Source organism: Homo sapiens, chromosome 2 (genome assembly GCF_000001405.40).
Source record: "Homo sapiens chromosome 2, GRCh38.p14 Primary Assembly".
Taxonomy (NCBI): domain Eukaryota; kingdom Metazoa; phylum Chordata; class Mammalia; order Primates; family Hominidae; genus Homo; species Homo sapiens.
This window is the reverse complement of record NC_000002.12, coordinates 238800139-238819999: the sequence shown is the minus strand read 5'-3', so window position 1 is coordinate 238819999 and position 19861 is coordinate 238800139. Positions and strand designations below refer to the sequence as shown.

Here is a 19861-nt window from a genome sequence, read left to right as displayed (position 1 = left end):
TTTTGATTTGCATTTCTCTGTTGATTAGTGATGTTGAGCATTTTTTCATATGTCTGTTGGTTGCTAGTATGTCCTCTTTTGAGAAGTGTCTGCTCGTATCTTTTGCTCAATTTTTAATGGGGTTGTTTTTGGCTTGTCCAATTATTTAAGTTCCTACTAGATTCGGGATATTAGACCTTTGTAAAATGTATAGTTTGAGAGTATTTTCTCCTATTCTGTAGGCTGTTCTGTTTACTCTGTTGATAGTTTCTTTTGCTATGCAGACGCTCCTTAGTTTGAACAGGTCCCACTTGTCAATTTGTGTTGTAATTGCTTTTAAGGACTTAGTCATAAATTCTTTCCCAAGGATGATGTTCAGAATGGTGTTTCCTAGGTTTTCTTCTAGGATGCATATAGTTTGGGGTCTTATAATTAAATCTTTAATTCTTGTGTTAATTTGTGTGTATGGCGAAAGGTAGAAGTCCAGTTTCATTCATCTGCATATGGCTAGTCAGTAATCCCAGCACCATTTATTGAATAGAGAGTCCTTTCCCTATTGCTTATTTTTTTTTTAACTTTGTCAAAGATCAGATGGTTGTAGAAGTATGGCTTTACTTGTGCGTTCTCTATTCCGTTCCATTTGTCCAAGTGTCTGTTTTTGCACCAGTACAATGCTGTTTTGGTTATTATAGCCTTACAGCATAGTTTGAAGTTGGGTAATGTGATGCCTCCAGCTTTGTTCTTTTTGCTTAGAATTGTTTTGGCTATTCAGGCTCTTTTTTGGTTCTGTATGAATTTTAGAATTTTTTTTCTAATTCGGTGAAAAATGCTGTTGGTGGTTTGATAGGAATAGCATTGAATCTGCAGATTTCTTTGGGTAATATGGCCATTTTAATGATACTGATTCTTCCAATCCATGAGCATGGAAAGTTTTTCCATTTGTTTGTGCTATCTATGATTTCTTTCAGCAGTGTTTTTTAGTTCTCCTCGTAGAAATGTTTCACCTTTTTGGTCAGATGTATTCCTAGGTATTCGTGTGTGTGTGACATTGTAATGGGATTGCCTTCTTGAACTGGCTCTCAGCTTGAACATTATTGGTGTATAGAAATGCTACTAACTTTCGAACATTGATTTTGTATCCTGGAACTTTACTGAAGTTGTTTGTCAGTTCCAGGAGCCTTTTGGTGGAGTCATGAGGGTTTTCTAGGTATAGAGTCACATCGTTGGTGAAGAGATATAGCTTGACTTCATTTCCTGTTTGGATGACTCTTATTTCCTTCTCCTGCCTGATTGCTCTGGCTGAGACTTCCAGCTTAAGAGTCCTGAGACAGTGAAATTGTCTTCAGTTATCTGGATGGGCCCAATGTCATCACAAAGGTCCTTATAATTCAGAGGCAGGAGGATCAGGATCAGAGAGACTGGAAATAGGACAGAAGCAGAGGTTGAGTGTCACAATGTGATCACATCAAGGAAGACAGATAGAAAACCTCCAGAAGCTGAAAGGGGCAAGGCAACGGGTTTGCCTCCAGAAGAGCACATTCCTGCAGATACCCCCTTGGCTCCATAAGACTCATTTCAGACTTCCTCCTCGAGAACCAGAAGATCATAGATTTGTGTTGTTTTAAGCCACTAAGCTCGAGGTGATTTGTGACAGCAGTACCAGGAAACTGACACTGCTCCCTCTGGACCCATCACCCAGGGTGAGTCCAAAGTGATGGTGTCACAGCTTCAGGCTTCACAGCCCCATTAGTGCTCTTGCTTTCCGGCTGAAGTGTGGTCTGTGGAGCCCTTGTGCCTCCAGGCAATTGGATTTGCTTAATTGCTTAATTTTCCTTCTAAAGTTCGCCCTAACCAGGGCCCCATGTGAGGCCTCTGACCAAATGCGACAACAGTTTTGACGAATGTGCAGGGAAGCCTCATTAAGATCAATAATTCTTCTTTCTCCATCAAAACCCACCCCAGAAAGATGCAACAGGGCTGGCACAGGGTGCCCTGGAGCTGTGTTGTGCCACAGCCCCACTGGGCCTGGGGGCAGAGGACCCAGCTTCTTGTCCTTCACTGCTGTTGACATATTTATTACAGATCCGTTTCCCAGTAGACCAGCCCCCAGGCACATTAGTGTAATAATGTAGAAAACCATTAGCAGGATCTTTTAGGACCTGGGGTTAAAGAAGCTGTGACATGCTTGCCACAGAGGAATCTAACTGGCTTATTGTTCATTTAAAAATCACGTTGAATTGTTCTAGCTTTGACATTCAGAGCTGCTATCCGATGTGTAAAATTAAGAAGCATGAAGGAACAAACCTTGCTAACTTCAAGAGAAGCTGGCAATTCAATTAGAATAATAATGGAAACCAACTGGGTGTAAAAACCTGCCTCACTCAGGGCCTCGGTTCCAGAGAGACTGGTCTTGCCCAGATCTGAAGGGTCTCTGTGACTGACAGTGAATTTCACACCCTGCAGGCCTCCAGGAAGAGGAAAGTGCATGTGGTCAGTGTGTTCTTTATCACGGTGTAGAGGCTGCGTGCTACCTGTAAAGCTGCAAAGGTATCATCAGACAGACTGGCAGATGCGGGCTGGAGTGGGAATCTTGCAGGAACAGAGCAGGATGCAGAGGTTGGCTTTGGAGTGATCCTAGGCTGTTTCCACCCTGGTGAGTTGAAATGTCCATGGTGATGAGACCTGTCCGAGAGGACAGTGCGGAGCCTGCCTCGATATTTTAGGCTGTTTCAGTCACTGGTCAAATCAGAGCTGTCTCCTTCCAGGAACACTGAACACAGCAAAATCTGATGTAACAGAAACTAACATTTATTGACTGAGTGTCCTCTGTGCCAGTCACCGTGCGAGCCCTGGAATGCTCCTTGCTCAGAACGCGGTACACAGTAAGTGCCCAATAAATGGGAACTGCTGTTTTTATTAAGGTCATTGGGATTACTGCTGATGATCAGATGTGAGGTGATCTTGTCTCCGCAGCAAGACTGGCTGCTCCATGAAGGGGGACGCCGTCACACGCACGTGCACACATGTGCTACGCATACATATTTTCACACCCCAAGAAGAGGTCAACACGCTCACCACACGTGGATGCTCATTAAACTCTCTTCAACTTGAAATGGAGTCAAATGTACATTCTTTTTTAGAAGTCTGCAGTGTGGAACCGAGTGTTTATGTAGCGTTGAATGACAGAGGTCCTGCCAACGTCCACTTGCCATAGTGAACATGTGTGTGTTTCATGGGCTTTGTTACCAAGGAGCTCGCTGATCCTTCCCACTGAACCTAAAGTGAAATCACAGCCCTGGGTCTAATGAGATCACTCTTTCCATTTTGGGCAAATAAAGATGGTTTTTTAAAAAGTTCTCTTCAAAGTCTGCTTTGAAGAGCGAGTGAGAGAGGTGGGTAGCAGATGAGGATGGAAGCAGAGCTCCTGTCACTTCCTGCCTTCCTTTTTAAAGCTCTTGATGAGCCTGCTTTTTGTGGGAGCCTTGGTTACTAACACGATGTTTTGGTTGGTAGGAATACTGGATTCCTGGAAGTAAGAGTGTTGGGACTCCAAGATGGGCATGCTGCCTAGTATCTCTTCATGCCATCCCTTCCCCAAACCACACTCAGAAGCATGACATATTTTTTATATATATAATCAGCAGAGTTTCTGTCCTCTGCTGCTTTCTGGGGGTCACAGTTTCTCCTGGCAAGTCATGTTACCCAGAGTTCTCATGCCTTGAACATGGTAGACTTGCTGCAGTGTAAGGACAGGGTGCCCAGTGTCACAGCATTTCCCAAGCTCTGTGGGAGAAACGCTGACCCCAAGCAGATCTGACCAGAGGGACCAAGGTGGGCTCACTGTGAATCAAGGGCAGCTGGGACATGGGTACACTTTGGTAATGTCTGTTCCATGAAATTCTTGTTAAAATGAACAGGACCATGTCACAGCATGAATTGTAGTCAGTATAATCAATCCCAAATTAGCCATTTAAATACCTACCTTCTATAACCCAATTCAGTTTACTGTTGAAGCCTAGATTGCCTACATGTATAATGGAAGTAAGTCAGTTAACTATGATATAAACCAGTAAATTTTTTTCTAGGTTAAGTTATATTTGGAATACAAAAATTACAGAGACCCAGATTTTAAATGTAAATTTTTTTTCTTAACCTGGAAGATGATCAAGGCAAGGGGTAGAGAAGAAAAAAAAGGGCACCAAATGCCAGCCTGAGGGTGAACTGTTCAGAATAGACTAGAAAAGAAATGGAAATAATTTAGGAACAAAAATATCCTAGTAAATAATGTTTATCTTCAGTGAGAAGACAAGTTCATCTTTGAAACAAGAATAAGATGATATGAAAAGGGAACAGAAAATAAAAGTAAGCCCTTGGACAATTTCTTTTTTATGAAACAACAACATGTGATTGCTAAAAAAAAGTTTTCAACAGAATATTTGGGAGATAAAAATCAAGAAAATCTCTGAGAAAATAGAATAATACATCAAAGAAACAAACAAATAAGCAAACGAAAGAGACAGGATTAAACCCAGAGGTCCTAGATTCGCTCCCCCTGAATGGGAGGGATTGTTCCATGCAGCCTCTGCTTGAGTTGGTATCCACACTCCAAGCCCTTGGAGCTGTTCTCTGACAAATCACTGCTTCAACAATGCAATTTGTCAGTTAAGTCCCAAGTGGGATCAAATCACCCTTCTCACTGTGCTTGGCTTACGTCAGCAATGAGTTTTACCCAAAGTCTGAATCTTGTTCTTTAAATTCCAAAAAAAAAAAAAAAAAAGATCCACTGTTGGGTAGTACTTTTGTTCACCCCATTGCACGTTTATATTTCCAGCTTTATCCCAGCTTCCTGTCATCAGGTTCTCAGCCAGCCCTGGTGTCCAGGGCATGTGGGAGCACTCTGGTTTGCCTTCTTGGCTGGAAGCCTATGTCTACTTGGAGATGATGGTGGTTCAGAAGGGCTGAGCAGAGGCCAGAGAGATCCACCAGGAGGAAAGCACTCCCACTCCAGCACTGTGTCAATGACCCTTAGCATTGTCAGAGATGGAGAGCGTGGGCTCCGGAACAGCCCAGGCATGTGAGGGCTGCCCATGGCTGGCTCCACACAGCCCTGGAAACACAGTGAGCACTCAGTCATCACTCACTCTGCTGTCATAAGTCTTCTCCAACCGCTAAATGCCCTAGTGGGAGAGGTTGAGAGATTCCCACAGGGTGGTGGACTTGCCACCAGAGCCCCATAGAGGAGGAAATGGCACTGGCTTGGCCTGCAGCTGGCTGAAAACTCTTACCAAAGGCATGCTGTAATCTCCAAGACATTGGAGCTCCATGGGTTGGAGCAACGGAAGAAGCCGAGGCCACCCTCCACCGGTTCGTTCACCCAGCGAAGCTTCAGTGCATGCTCTGATACCTCCCATCCTCACAGCAACCTTTAAGGGAGGGCTGATATCCTCTCCAGTTCACAGATGAGGAAAAGGAGGCAGCAGAGTGGCTGCATAGGTCACCCAAGGACCACGTAGAGAGGAAGAGGCAGAGCCGGGATTTGAACCAGGAAGTCTACCCATAAAGGTACCAGCTGCTTAGTCTACAGAGTGGACAAGGCTTCCTGCTCTGGCTGTGGGTGGGTTGTGGAAGGTAGAGGCTCAGACCCCCATCAGCTTCAGCCCCTCCTCCTGCTCAGTGGAACCCAGAAAATACAGATGGCTCTGGAAGCACAGTTGAGAATCACTGGGCAAGTTAGAAAGAGAGATGAGAGCCTGGGAGCCAGCCCGTGGGTTCCTGAACATCAGAGAGGTCCCAGGAAGGAAAGCAGGGCTGGGTGAAGCTGCTAAGGGCTTTGATGGTAGAGTTGTGACAGAAGGGTTTAATTCATCAAAAAAGAGCCAAAAAGTCACTGTAGGGAAACTGAGGAGGAGGATGCATGTCCTGACCTCAGCGAGTGCTCTGTCCGGTTGGAGACAAAAGACAGAGCACCACTGTGGAGGCCTCCAGGGCCCTGGAGATACAGACAAGGGATGCAGGGAGCTCCCTGTGTCCAAAGCGCTCAGGGAAGACTCCGTGGAAGGTGGTCATACCTGGCTTCCAAGTGGGCAGGGTGTGGGCAGGGGAAGGCACTGCAAAGTCCTTGGGAACAGGGGCAGGCTGTGGTTTCCCAGAGTGGGACAGGCACATGACGGAAGGAGCAGGGGAGTTGTCCTAGGAGTGAGGAGGAGAGTGATCTCCCTCTATAGAAAGGGAGCTGGAAGGAGGAGAACAGCAGGAGGAAGGGGTCAGAATAGAGGGAGAGGAAGGCCTGGCCAAGGCTTTGGAGGTTGATGGTTTAAAGATTTCAAGGGAAAATTGCTTTTGGCAATGATGGAGGATTTAGGGTAGGTGACGCTGGAAATAGGGCCATCAGCCTGGAAGGTGCCACAATAGCCTGGGAAGATAGAGAGCATCAGAGTCTGGATGGGAGCAGGAGGCAGGGGCAGGAGAGGAAAGGGTGAGTGGGGAAGGGGAAAGCAGCAGGAAGGCTGGCTCCAAACCTGGCCCCTGCCCAGCCACCAGCACAAATGGCCTGTGAGCTCCAGGTTTCTCATCTTTACAATGTGGATATGACAGTCACCATGTGACCATGCAGCGGTGTCTTGAGGGCTTCGTGGGAAGGTGACAGTAATGGGTCCAGCACAGCTGGCTCCTTGCAACGCAAGAAACGGCACTGATGTTTCCTGTCCTCAGAGGGACCTGGTGACAAACTGGCTGTGAGGCTGAAAGAGGAAGGAGTCAGAGAGGGATGCATGACGTAAGCCAGGCTTGCTGGAACCAAGGTGGACCATGGACACCTAGGTGGGATCAGCCCCACCCGTATCACTCGTGGACAGGATGCAAGTGGGCAAGGTGGCTTCCTGCTGCCCTTGGAGGGGTGAGATCAGCGGGGCAGACAGACTTGCGCTGCCCGGGCCCCCTGATCTCCAGACACCGCCAGACTCTCCCCACTTACCCCACTTGCCCTTTCTAAAATGCAAAGAACCTGAAGAACTGGGAAACCTCATCCAAAGCCCACCACTGCAACTCCAGAGAACTGTCTCCTTCTGGAGGTTTCTTATTCAGAGTTTCACACGCAAACAAATCAACAAAGGAGCTATGAACCAGAATCCTCCAACCAGGGCTGTCCCTGGCCTCTGGAAAGGGGATTTCTCATGCAGGAGATGTATAATATGTGTCTGTCAGATCAGAGAAATTGCAATCACTGTCAGATCTGTGGGATTTTCTGTCTTCCCTCAGATGGATGTGGCTAAGATCATGTCAGAAGACAACACTGAGGTCTAAAAGGCCAAAGGGCAGAAACAAGAAGTAGAAGAAATATATTCATTGGCTTGTTTGGCAATACGGAGTCACAAATTGCACTGTTTGAATTTAAAATGTTTTAAAAATTGTATTGTCAAGACCATTTAAGAATTTGGAGTAATCCTCATAATCACTTAATATTAACCCACTATGTGTCCATCTGTTTCCCTTTCTCTTTGACCCTGGATGTTCTAATGTAATCAGCATTTTCTGAGTTGAAAGTTGAAGCTAGGCCGGGCGCGGTGGTTCACGCCTGTAATCCCAGCACTTTGGGAGGCCGAGGCGGGTGGATCACGAGGTCAGGAGATCGAGACCATCCCGGCTAAAACGGTGAAACCCCGTCTCTACTAAAAATACAAAAAATTAGCCGGGCGTAGTGGTGGGCGCCTGTAGTCCCAGCTACTTGGGAGGCTGAGGCAGGAGAATGGCGTGAACCCGGGAGGCGGAGCTTGCAGTGAGCCGAGATCCCGCCACTGCACTCTAGCCTGGGCGACAGAGCGAGACTCCGTCTCAAAAAAAAAAAAAAAAAAAAAAAAAAAGAAAGAAAGTTGAAGCTGAGGATGACGAGAAGGAAGAAGGTATATTAACAAATAAATGTAGACCAGGATCACACTGATTCAATTTTGTCATGAAGGAGAAAAAGTGAACACCAGGTCCAACTCTGAACTTGAGGTTTGAGAGCTGAGACTTAATTGAGAGCAGAAATAGAAACACATTTGCTCGCTGGGCTTTGACCATCTGCCAGCAGCACATCGATGGTTTCCTCAGTGTCTGTGCGTCATGTTCATGATGTCTCCTGTTTTCTCTCCACCCCGTATTCAAAAATAATTGAGAAGATTCAACAGAAGTGGTTCTATCTCTGTTTCTCTTTGTTATTCAAATGAGGGAGGAAAGCAAAATTTTAAGGAGATGGTTTTAATTAGCAAATAAAATAACAACATCTTATACTTGCAGACCACTAGATCTGAAATTGATTTGCAAATAGGATTTTGTTAATCCTTCCAACGTTTCCTAAAATAGGGTTGTGGAAAACGTTATTCTGCTTTTAGATGGAGAAGTGGGCTCTGCAAGAAGCAGTGGCCATAGATTGAAAGACCCTTCAAGAGGCGACTGCTTAAATTCCTTGTAAACATCACTTGAAATGAAAACCAGAACGAGGCTGCTTCTCCATGAATCACTAGCACCCAGATGTGGCAAAGTTAACTGGAGAACTTCCTTGCTCTGACTTCCAGATGGCTTGAAAGAAAACAATGTCTTTATCACTGGAGTGTTTCAAATCAGTTGTGGATAGGTCAAAACTTCCTGCTACATGGGGGTGGTGTCAGAATGAACTGGGCCATTGTTTCTGCACATGGATCTTCAGGATTGTTCTGAGATGGGACTGGAACGAGCTAAACCATGAGCATGAAATTCCAGAGATGAGGGGGAAGTCCTAGAGGAGCTTACTAAGAACTGACCTTTGGTTCCAAAGGTGGAATTGAAGCAGGCTCCTGCCCTTCTGAACAACCGGGCCCTTCACGCATTGAATGGTGGCCCCCACAAAAGACACGTCCACGTCTTAATGCCCAGAACCTATGAATTATCATATTTGGAAAAAGGGTCTTTGCAGATGTAATTAAGTAAAAGATCTCAAGATGAGACCATCCTCGATTATTCCGAGAGGCCCTAAATCCAATGTCAAGTGTCCTTGCAAGGGACAGAAGAGGAGAGACCCAGAGAGAAGAGAAGGCCGTATGAAAATGAGGTGGAGATATGCACCCAGCAAGACCAGGAACGCCTTCAGCCACCAGAAGAAGGAAGAGGCAAGGATGGATTCTCCCCCAGGGCCTTCAGAGGACGCATAACCCCGTCAACACCTGGATTCTTGATTTCCAGCCTCCAGAACTGTGAGAGAATAACCTTCTTTTGTGGGAAGCCACCAAGTTTGTGGCACTTAGTCATGGCAGCTAGGAAAATTAATATAGGCCCTGACACAGAGAACACAGATGACCAAGACAAAGAAAGCCCTGTGTCACCTTCTAGTCTCTAAAGACCCACTAGGGGAGAGGGAGGAGCGGGAAGACAGAAGAGGTGGGGTGGCAACCTGTTGCCATCACGAGTGATGGCCAGGGCTTTCTAACAGAAGCAAGGTTGGGAGGACTTTTCTGACCACCTGCGCTGGTGACCTGGATGGAAAGGACCAGCACATCCACCATCAGTGGGGCTTAGTCCAGACATCTCCTCAGCTGTCCCAGAGAGCAGACGACAGGTATGCCAGACTTAGGGTCCCAAAAGTTGGGGTGTGGTGTCCTAGTCAGAGCAATTGGGCCTTCTGGATTGGTCCCAGACACAAATGACACACAGACCCTTTAACGACACACAGCTAAAGTTCAGTCACACTCTTGCATTTCAAACTTAGGTGACTGAGCCTGAATTCAAGTTCCTTGCATTAAAATCAAGATGAATTGGCCATTTTTATCTTTAAGACCCTCAGGCTTCAACTAATGTAGCAGAGTGTGGCAACTAAAAAAGGCTTGTCTCATAACACATGATTTATTTGGGAGGAGGCACCCAGGTCCCAAAAGGAGGTTTTCCCAGGACTCCAGGAAGTACTTTTAGGATTTTTAAATTAGGAATAATCTTAGAAATAGGGAAGAAGGACTCATGTCTGATGTGATCACCATGCAGGCACCAAGCCCTGCCACAGGAAGACAGTCACAAATTGGGTAAGCTCTTTGAACACTGGGGACTCATCTGTTCAGAGCAGAACCTACCTGTTCTGAACTGACATTATTCCTGGAGGCTGATTTCATAGCCTTTTTTTTTTTCTTTTTTTCTTTCTTTTTTTTTTTTTTTTTTTTGATGCAGAATCTTGCTCTGTCACCCAGGCTGGGGTGCAGTGGTGGGATCTCAGCTCACTGCAACCTGCACCTCCCAGGTTTTAGTGATTCTCCTGCTCAGCCTCCTGAGTAGCTGGGATTGCAGGTGTGCATCACCACGTTTGGCTAATTTTTATATTTTTGGTAGAGATGGGGTTTCACCATGTTGGCCAGGTTTGTCTTGAACTCCTGGCCTCAAGGGATCTGCCCACCCACCTTGGGCTCCCAAAGTGTTGGGACTACAGGCCTTAGCCACCATGCCCAGCCCTGATTTCATAGCTTTAAAAGTACACGGTGTTCACCAAAAGTGTTTCTGAATTAGGTAGAGTTTGTGATAGGGGCTAGAAGGATATGACAAGGAATACAGCAGTTTAAAAGGCACGTGTAGTCTATTTAAAATAAGGATATGATCTGATCAATTAATGCTTTAAAAATACAACTGAAATACTCAAATTAAAAACTCAATGGAGAGTACAGAAGAAAGAATGGATGAACTTGAGAGAACAACAGAAATTAACCAATCTGGACAATAGAGAGAAAATAGACTAAAAAAAGAAACAGAGCCTTGGGGACTTGTGGGACTATAACAAAAGATCTAATTCTCATGTCCTCTAAGTCTTAGAAGGAGAGAATAAAGAGGAAGATCCTGAAAAAGTATTCAAATAAATAATGGCTGAAAATTTCCCAAGTTTGGCAAAAGACATCAACTTACAGATTTGAGATGCTGAGCAAATCCTAAACAGGATGGACTCAAAGAATCTCATGCCAAAACACAGCATAATCAAATTCCAGGAAACCAAACACAAAGTAAAATCTTGAAATTGGTGACAGCAAAACAATACCTTCCCCCAGGGGGAGAAGCAGTTTGAATGACAGCAGGTATCTCAACAGAAACTATGGGAGCCAGAAGGAAGTGGCACAACATTTTCCAAGTGCTGAAATAAAAGCTGTCAACCTTGAATTCCATATCTGGCAAAAGTATCCTTTAGGAAAGAAAGAAAAATAAAGATGTGCTCAAATAAAGGAAAATTAAGAGAATGTCTTGCCGTCAAGCCTACCCTAAAAGAAAGCCTCAGGGAAGTTTGCTAAACAGAAAGAAAATAGAAGACTCTTGGCCCATCAGGAAGGAAAGAGAGTGGAAAGAATAAAACATGGGACATGCTGCTTTGCAGCCATGAGTCACCAAGCAGGAGTAAAGTCAGTCTGAAACTGGTTTGCTGGAGAGACTGCCCTGAGATAGAGAGATGTGGTCAGGAGAATTCCAGTGTGGCTCTCTTGAGTACCAACTTCTAGGATTCAAGCTGTACGATCTCCTTCACCTGAGAGTGGGCAGGACCTGTCAAAAGCAAATCATCCTGGGTGGGTACCAGCTAATCAGAGGAGCCCCATAAAGATGGACCAGGGGTTAGAGACATTCTCCTACTGATGCTGAAGAAGCAGCCACCTTACAAGGTTCAAAACTGCCACAGTGAAGGGCGGACTCTAGGAGTTGAGGGCTGCAGTTATAGAACTGCAAGGAACTAAATTCTCCTAAGAACTTGAATGAGCTTAGAACAGGACTTCAAACTCCAGATGAGCATGCAGCTAGCCAAGAGGACCCAGACTCCTGACCCATGGTAACTGTGAGATAACAAATACATGTTGCAGTAAGTCACAGATACACACACACACACACACACACACACACACACACACAGAGGCATTAAAAATAAAGATATGATCCAAGTCAATTGATTATTATACTAAGTATAGGTCATCATTTTGCATCAATAAAATAACACCTTCAGTGATGTCAACTCAGTGGAAACATTTTGTCCATCAGTTCTTGCACAGGGAATCAAAATTTGCAATTTATACTTATTTATTTTTAAATGGCAAAAAAGTTCAGTTATATGAACATGATTAGTAATATCCCCAAATTACTCAGATATCCACCAGCATATAAACTGTGCTATAACCACAAAGAGAGCACTGTGCAGCCGCGAAAAAGAGTGCTCCACCCCTACCTGCGACAAATCCCACAAACACCATGTTTAGCTAATGAAGCCAGCCACAAAAGTCTATATGCGACAAAATTCAATTTACATAAAGTACAAACACAAATCTATGGCAACACTAATCTATGTTATTTCAAGTTAGAATTGTGATTGGTTTTGGAAGGAGTCCCTCTGGGACTGACTTATCTGGTGCCGGTAATTCTGGTGCCTGGCTTCCTGGATGTGTTTAGTTTGTACACATTTATATGTAGACTCTTGTGTATGTATATCACATGTCACTAAAAGGTTTCCAATGACACAGTAACAGCTTCCATTATGAAAATGAGCAGTTTGCATTTGCTGTGAGGCATGGTCTCGTTGCTCTGCCTGAGCTGGAAGCTCTCCCTGTAAGAAGCAGGCCATGACACTAATGACACATTCCACACGGATGCCTCCCCATCTGCATTTGTGACCCAGGCCGTGACATGATGACGGAAAAGGTCACATCATCCCCACCCTGCCATGAGCCGTGGCCTATGGCAAGCTACTGGGGCTAACACCATAGATAAACCATCTTTTCTCTATTTACAACCACCGACAATAGAATGCACATTCCTCCCTTGCTCTCTGGAGTAGTGACCGGAGCTTAGTACCTTCGGTGTCAGGTAGGACCCCCAGGATGTAGGAAAGAAGGGGACTGTGGAAGAAAGACTCAGCTAAGTTGTTCCAAGCGATCAAGAGGAAGTCAGGGTGAGGCACCCCAGTCACTCTCCTTTGCCCTGAGCCCGGTTCCTGCACTGCCTCTGCCTGTTGTGAGAACTTGGGGAGCCACTCTGTCCACTCCAGTCAGCGGCTGGAGTTTGGAGGGTGGGAAGAAGAGAGGAGCCAGGGAATGACCACCCCTACCACTCCCAACAGTATCTCCGTGTGCAACCAAACCCCCCCACACCCCAAATTCATTGGTGTCAGTGAACTCTGGAGCATTAATTTACGTATAAAATCTCAGGGGAATGGCCCAAACTCTCTGGCTGATTGGCAGCCTCGCTGACCTCTGCTCATTCACTTGACTTCTGAGTGGCGGTCAACTCTATACCTTGGCCAAGAGATTCATGTGGGCACCCACCCCAGTGGGCATCACCCCTCACCTTACACAGCAGGCACTTGCTCCTCCATCAGTAATCTCAGTGCAGTGGACTTAGAGTGATTTTGTGGAATTTTTATGGGTGCGTGGCAGTGGGATGGAGGTGTTGTACATGCCACCAAAGTGATAACTCCAGAACGGCCATCGTGTTGAAACCTGTAAAAACTGGCATCTCAGCAACACGGCAAAACCCCGTCTCCACTAAAAATACAAAAAAAAAAATTAGCCAGGCATGGTGGTGCCTGCCTGTAATCCCAGCTACTAGGGAGGCTGAGGCAGGAGAATTGCTTGAACCCGGGAGATGGAGGTTGCAGTGAGCCGAGATCAAGCCACTGCACTCCAGCCTAGGAGACAGCAAAACTCCATCTCCAAAAAAAAAAAAAAAAGAAGGAAAGAAAAAGAAAGGAATAAAGAAAAGAAAATTGGAGTTTCAGGGGTGGTCTTTCTGTCATGTTGGTGCCCATGTGCCCGGCTTCAGAACGGCTGCCGCCCTGGGCAGGTTAAGATGTCAGATGCGGTTGATCCCAAGAGCCACCCCGTCCCGCCACTCTGCTGACTTCTCAGCGGCTCCCCTGACCATGCCAGGGCACTTCAGGGATGCCCATGGGTCACAGATCTCTGGGTGTGTGTCTGTTCAAAGAGTCAACGCTGAGCTCCGAGGGACGCAGGATCTCACATCTACAGGGGCGGGCTTAGACATGGCCATGCCCCCCGGAGCACCTGTGACTCCAGGACAGGTAGCAGGTGCTTCCAGATAGTTCTTCCTCCTCCACTAGACAAATGGAGAACCTGAGGTGGACTGTGTTCCATGGAGAGGACTCCCTGTTACAAAAGGTCTGCAGCCAAATTTTCAAATAGCAGTTTCTTCTAGTTCCTTCAGCTTTTCTTAGATAAGATTCTGTTGATAACAATCGCCACCACAAAAGGGTCATCAGCTGCTCAGAGTCACAGGTACTACAGAGAGTGTCCTAGACACCCACCTGCATTTTGGAAGGTAAATTGGACAAGAGTGAAAGACAGAAGACCTGCCTTGCAGACGTGGTTTATTTGACTTGGGGATGAAAATGCACCAATACAAGGCCTGGTTGCCTTTTTTAATCACCTAGAATAACAGATTTGTCTCTGAAAACCGAAATTAAATCTTTACTTGTTTGCCATCCTTCTTCATTCTTTCAGATTTCCGTTTCAAATAGCAAGAATACCATATATTTGAAGCCCTGTTTTTTCTCGTCTGTTTCAAATAGCAAGGCTAGTATATATTTGAAGCACTTTTTATTTTATTTTTATAATTGCAACAAAGATAACACAGATCAGACTTTAAGATTTGTGGAAGAATCAACATATTTATTTCTCAAGTTATTGGTCCTGATCCAACGCCTGAAAGATGATTTGGTTGTCCTACATGGGGCATGTTTTCGTCAATACTTAAAGCCTTCATCGTAGCACTGAATAGAGAATGTTTGAATTGACTAATCATTTCACATTCCTTGAAGTATTTTTAATTGAAAAAGGCAGTACAATTAGTGTGAGGAGACTTTCAAAAACTTTTAGAGGAAGCTGATATCTGATTGTTATGAGAAGAAAAAACACTGTTCTAAAATTCTTAAAATAATAAAGTTAACTTTAAATTTCAAAACATAGTAGGTAATCTGTTTCTCTCTGGTATTTTAATGTCAGGTTTGAAGAGGTAGCAGTTATTTCTGGGAGGGGGAATAAACTATTCTCTCTTCAATCAGCTCAAAATTACTTTCTTTTTAGTTACTGTGCTTGTTTTATCAGCTACTACTCCACTGGTTTTACCATGTATTATTTTTTATTTTAATTTTTGCCCTAATGTTAATGATGGCAGCTCCAAAGACAGGTGAGAAAACTTCATGAGAAAAAATATGATACATTTCCAAACCCCCAATTGTCCCCAGATGTGACCTGGCAGCCTGTCTGTTCTGTGTAGGGATACACTTGATGAAGTCTTAAGAACACTGCCCAAGAAACACTATTTGCTGGAGAGATGCGTGCTAGTGAGATGCTCCCCTCTCCAGTACAGCTTGGGAGGTGGGGTTTTCATTATTAATTACAAATTGCCTCTGGGACGGCGGAACTTAGGGAAGGAGTTAGTGAATAAAAATGTGGTGAAGCAAAGAATGGAGGAGGGCTTTGACACTGCAGCGAAGAGGATTTGGGGCTAATGAGAGCAAATGATGACGACCATAAGCTTTTACTAGGAAAAAGCCCCCGCCTGATTTTTCCTTTCAAAAATGCCTTCCATAAATGGTGGAAATCCTATAAATATCCCCTCCACAAATCGGCTGGAGGAAGACACAGCGGGAAGAGGGGGTTTGTGTAGCTTGTGGTGGAGTGGAATTCCTCGGCCCCAATTCAGAACCGTTCCCTGTGGGATCCTTCTGCTTTAAAGTGGTCCGCGGGTGGGGCTCCCAGAGTATCCATGTTCTGAGCCAAGCTGATTATCTCTGCTTTTTATCTACAGACGGAAATAGGAGCAATACACACAAAATTAGCTCCATAAATAAATGCTGAGGTCTACTTGCCCGGTCCTCTCTGGCCCAGGAGGCTGTGGGACGTTCTCTGGTCTCTTTCATCTCTGGTTGTGGCTGGTTGGCCCAGGACACAGGAAACTCGTGTTTTCTGCCATCAGAGAAGTGCTCTGGTGGCCTCCGTCCATTTTCCCTGGGGGAGAAAAATTTACTTTGTACTAATTGGCCTCCTTCTTGGCAGCACTGGTGCAATCGTAGCAGTCCCCTGAGCTGAGACTGAGTTCTCCGTGGAAAGGAGAGAAGGTGACAGGCGGCTTGGCTCAAGGACACAAAGCTAAGGGATGAGGGCATGTACTTTCTGGAACCTTCTCAGCAACTGGCTGGTCCTAGGACAAAACCTGTCATCAAAGTCCCTTGCTCAGAGCTGCTCCAGGTGGCGTCTCTCTCCCCAGACACCATTCCCGCACCCAGCGGCACAGGATCCCAGGGCAACGTGTGCTGCCTTTCTCTAAAGCACCATGCAAACTGCAGGTCAAAGGATGCTCCTTCCAGCAGGTATTTCAAATTTCGTAAACAGTCCTTCCCGACTGTGCTGTGCTCATAAAGCAGTCATCTATATGGAAGAAAAGAGGAGGACAACAGAAGTCTTCCACAATTTACCACTCAAAGGTAACTGTGGCAATATTGTGGCAGCGTCACGCTTGTTTAAAAAGAGCCTTGCAGTTATTTTTTATATTCAGTAACATAACCTGCTTTTTTTTTTACTTCACATTATCCCATGTACATTTTCTCCTGTTATTAAAAACTCTCAAACAGTTTATACTGACAGTATAATATTTCATCACTTAGCTTTCCATTATTTATTTGAAGACATCTCTCAGATGATGGACATTGTAGTTACTCTTAGATTTCATTATTATAAATGAGGTGGTGAGGAACACCTTCAGGCATAAATCATTGTCTCCGTTCTTTATTATTCCCTCAAAGTCGATGATTCATCACGGCATTACTGGGTCAAAGGTAATGGACATTGGATCATTTTTAACACATAAATTTCCAAATTGCTTTCCAAAAGCACTCTAGCACTTTGTAGCCTCACTCTTGCCAAGGATCTAGGAGGCTACCCAGCCCCTCCCCACCTGACTCCCAGCACTGGGCATTCACATTTTTAAAAACCTCTGCTTATGAGAACACTGCTTTGATCTGCGTTTCTCTGACCATCAGTAATGTTAGGCACATTTCTAATTTACTCATCCCACATTTTACACTATTATTATTGTGGGGAAGCTTTTAATTAGCAATAATCGCGCCTCAGATAAACCTCATGGGCTATGATATTACCACTGTGCAAAGCTGTGCACTATGATTATTTTAAAATTAACTCTTTAATCTTAATATTTGGGGTTGTATACAGTAGATAATGTGTTTTTCTAAATAGCCAACCAATTATATGAACACCACTTACTGTCTAATCCTCCAAGTCGTCCTGGTTTGTGATCCATTTTTTGTCGAATATTCACTTCGTTTCTCTCTTTCCAGGTTATCTCTCCTGCTCTGTGAAGTCTGTCTGTCCTTGGATCAGAACAATGTAAGGATTGTGGATATAATTTCCCTGCACGCCGACATTCGGCCTTACTGATGAGGTGGGTACCACCATCTCACTGTATACCCTTCATCTTGTATCTGTTGTTTTTGGTGATTTTTAATCCCGGGTAGCTTTCACATTTTTCTCCTTATCCTTGTGTTTTGCAGTTTGTTATGCTGTCTTCACAGGAATTGGTTTCTAGTTATCCTGTCTTCCCGGGTAGCTTTCACATTTTTCTCCTTATCCTTGTGTTTTGCAGTTTGTTACGCTGTCTTCACAGGAATTGGTTTCTAGTTATCCTGTCTAGGACTTGAGGATATTTTAAAACCACACCATGTATGTCCTTCAATTCTGGAAAAACTTCAGGCATTACCTCTACAAATATTGACTATTCCAGAGTCTCACTGTTCTCTTTCTAGAACTTCTATGAGGTGCCTATTTAAGCACCTCATCTTGTTCTCTCTGTCTCTTAATTTCTCATATGTGTTTCCATTTCTTTATCTCACTGTGCTGCAGGCTGACGAGTTTTCAGGTTTCTTCCCCCAGTTTTCTGCAGTCATGCGTCACTTAATGATGGGAATATGTTCTGAGAAATGCATCGTCAGATGATTTTGTCATTGTGTGAACATCAGAGCGCGTGCTTACACAGACCTGGATGGTGTGGCCTCCTACACCCCTAGGCTATGTGGTTTAGCCTCTTGCCCAGGCTACAAACCTAGACAGCATGTGACTGCACGGAATACTGTAGGCAAGTGTAACACAATGGGAAGTATTTGTGTATCTAAACATAGAAAAGGCATAGCAAAAACACTGTTGGCCAGGCGCAGTGGCTCACGCCTGTAATCCCAACACTTTGGGAGGCCAAGGAGCGTGGATCACGAGGTCAGGAGTTTGAGACCAGCCTGGTCAATATGGTGAAACCCCATCTCTACTAAAAATACAAAAATTAGCCAGGTGTAGTGACGCGCGCCTGTGGTCCCAGCTACTCGGGAGGCTGAGGATACAGGAGAATCGCTTGAACTTGGGAGGCAGAGGTTGCAGTGAGCCAAGATCGTGCCACTGCACTCCAGCTGGGCGACAGAGCAAGACTCCATCTAAAACAAAACAAAACAAAACAAAAAACACAGTGTAAAATATGAAAAAGAATGCATCTGTTGTCTAGGGCATGTACTGTGAGTGGAGCTGGCAGGACTGGGAGTTGCTCTGGGTGAGTCTGTGAGTGAGGGGTGGTGAATGTGAAGGTCTACACTGCTGGAGTCTTTATAGACACTGCACACTTAGGCTCAACTACATTTATAAAAATATTTTTTTCTTCAATAATAAATTAACCTGAACTGGCTGTAACTTTTTAACTTTATAAACTCTTACTTTTTAACCTTTTTGACTCTTCTGTAATAACACTTAGCTTAAAACACAAACACGTTGTACAGCTCTACAAAAATATTTTCTTTCTTTATATTCTTATTCTATAAGCTTCCTTCTGCTTAAAAAATTTTTACTTTAATTTTTCACTTTTTAAATTTTTGTGCTAAAAATCAAGCTACGACACATTAGCCTAGGCTTACACAGGGTCGGGGTCACCCATACTACTGTCTTCCACCTCCACCTCTTGTCCCACTGGTGACGCGTGGAGCTGTCACCTCCTATATGACAATGTCTTCCTCTGGATACCTACTGCAGGACCCACTGAGGCTGTTTTACAGGTAACTATTTTTCTATTTTTTAACAAATGGAAGGAATATACTCTAAAACAACGACTCAAAGTATGATACAGTAACTACATAAACCAGCAACATCATCATTTGTTATCATTATCAAGTATTACGGGATGTACATAATTCTATGTGCTAGACTTTTAGACGACTGGCACGCAGTAGGTTTGTTTATACCACAAACACGTGAGGAATGTGCGGTGCCATCGAAATCACCAGGCGATAGGAGTTTTCAGCTCCATTATCCTCTTCCGGGACCACGGTCGTACATGCGGTCCATGACTGGGCTTCCCACTTCAGCGACATCACGTCGACTCTCGGAGGTTTCTTTTTACCTAGGTTCTTTTATAAACCTAGGATTCCTTCTTAATTATGTTTCACGTTTGCTGATTCTTATTTCATAATTGCCTATTCTTGCTTTAAGGATTTTTGTAGTTTGAATGTATGTATCCCCCCAAAATTCTTGTGTTGGAGCTTGACTCTCAAGGGGTTGCTATGAAGAGTTGGGGCCCGTGGGAGGTGATTAGGCCCAGAGGACCCCAGTCTCATGAACGGAATTAATGTCCTTATAAAATAGACTTCAGAGAACTGCCTCCAGCTTCCACTCTGCTGGCATGTGAGGACACAGCCTTTGGTCCCCTCGTCAAGTGAGAGAGAACACGGCGTCTGTCCTCTCCACAGGGCACAGCAGCAACAAGGCGCCATCTTGGAAGCAGAGAGCAGCCCTCACCAGACACCAAGTTTACTGGCCCTTGATCTTGGACTTCTCAGCCTCCAGAACTGGGAGAAATAAATTCC

At 44.7% G+C, this 19861-nt stretch overlaps 1 pseudogene, besides 1 other annotated feature; it reads right to left on the bottom strand.

The window, feature by feature from the left end:
* Positions 16525–17724: an enhancer, noted in NCBI's record as "BRD4-independent group 4 enhancer chr2:239710917-239712116 (GRCh37/hg19 assembly coordinates)". NCBI's record gives its function as "activates an origin of replication core promoter dependent on BRD2, P300/CBP, MED14 and CDK7 cofactors, and independent of BRD4, by STARR-seq in HCT116 cells {active_cell/tissue: HCT116}" and the evidence as "EXISTENCE:reporter gene assay evidence [ECO:0000049][PMID:35650434]".
* On the bottom strand, positions 16989–17121 carry LOC124905451 (uncharacterized; annotated as a pseudogene).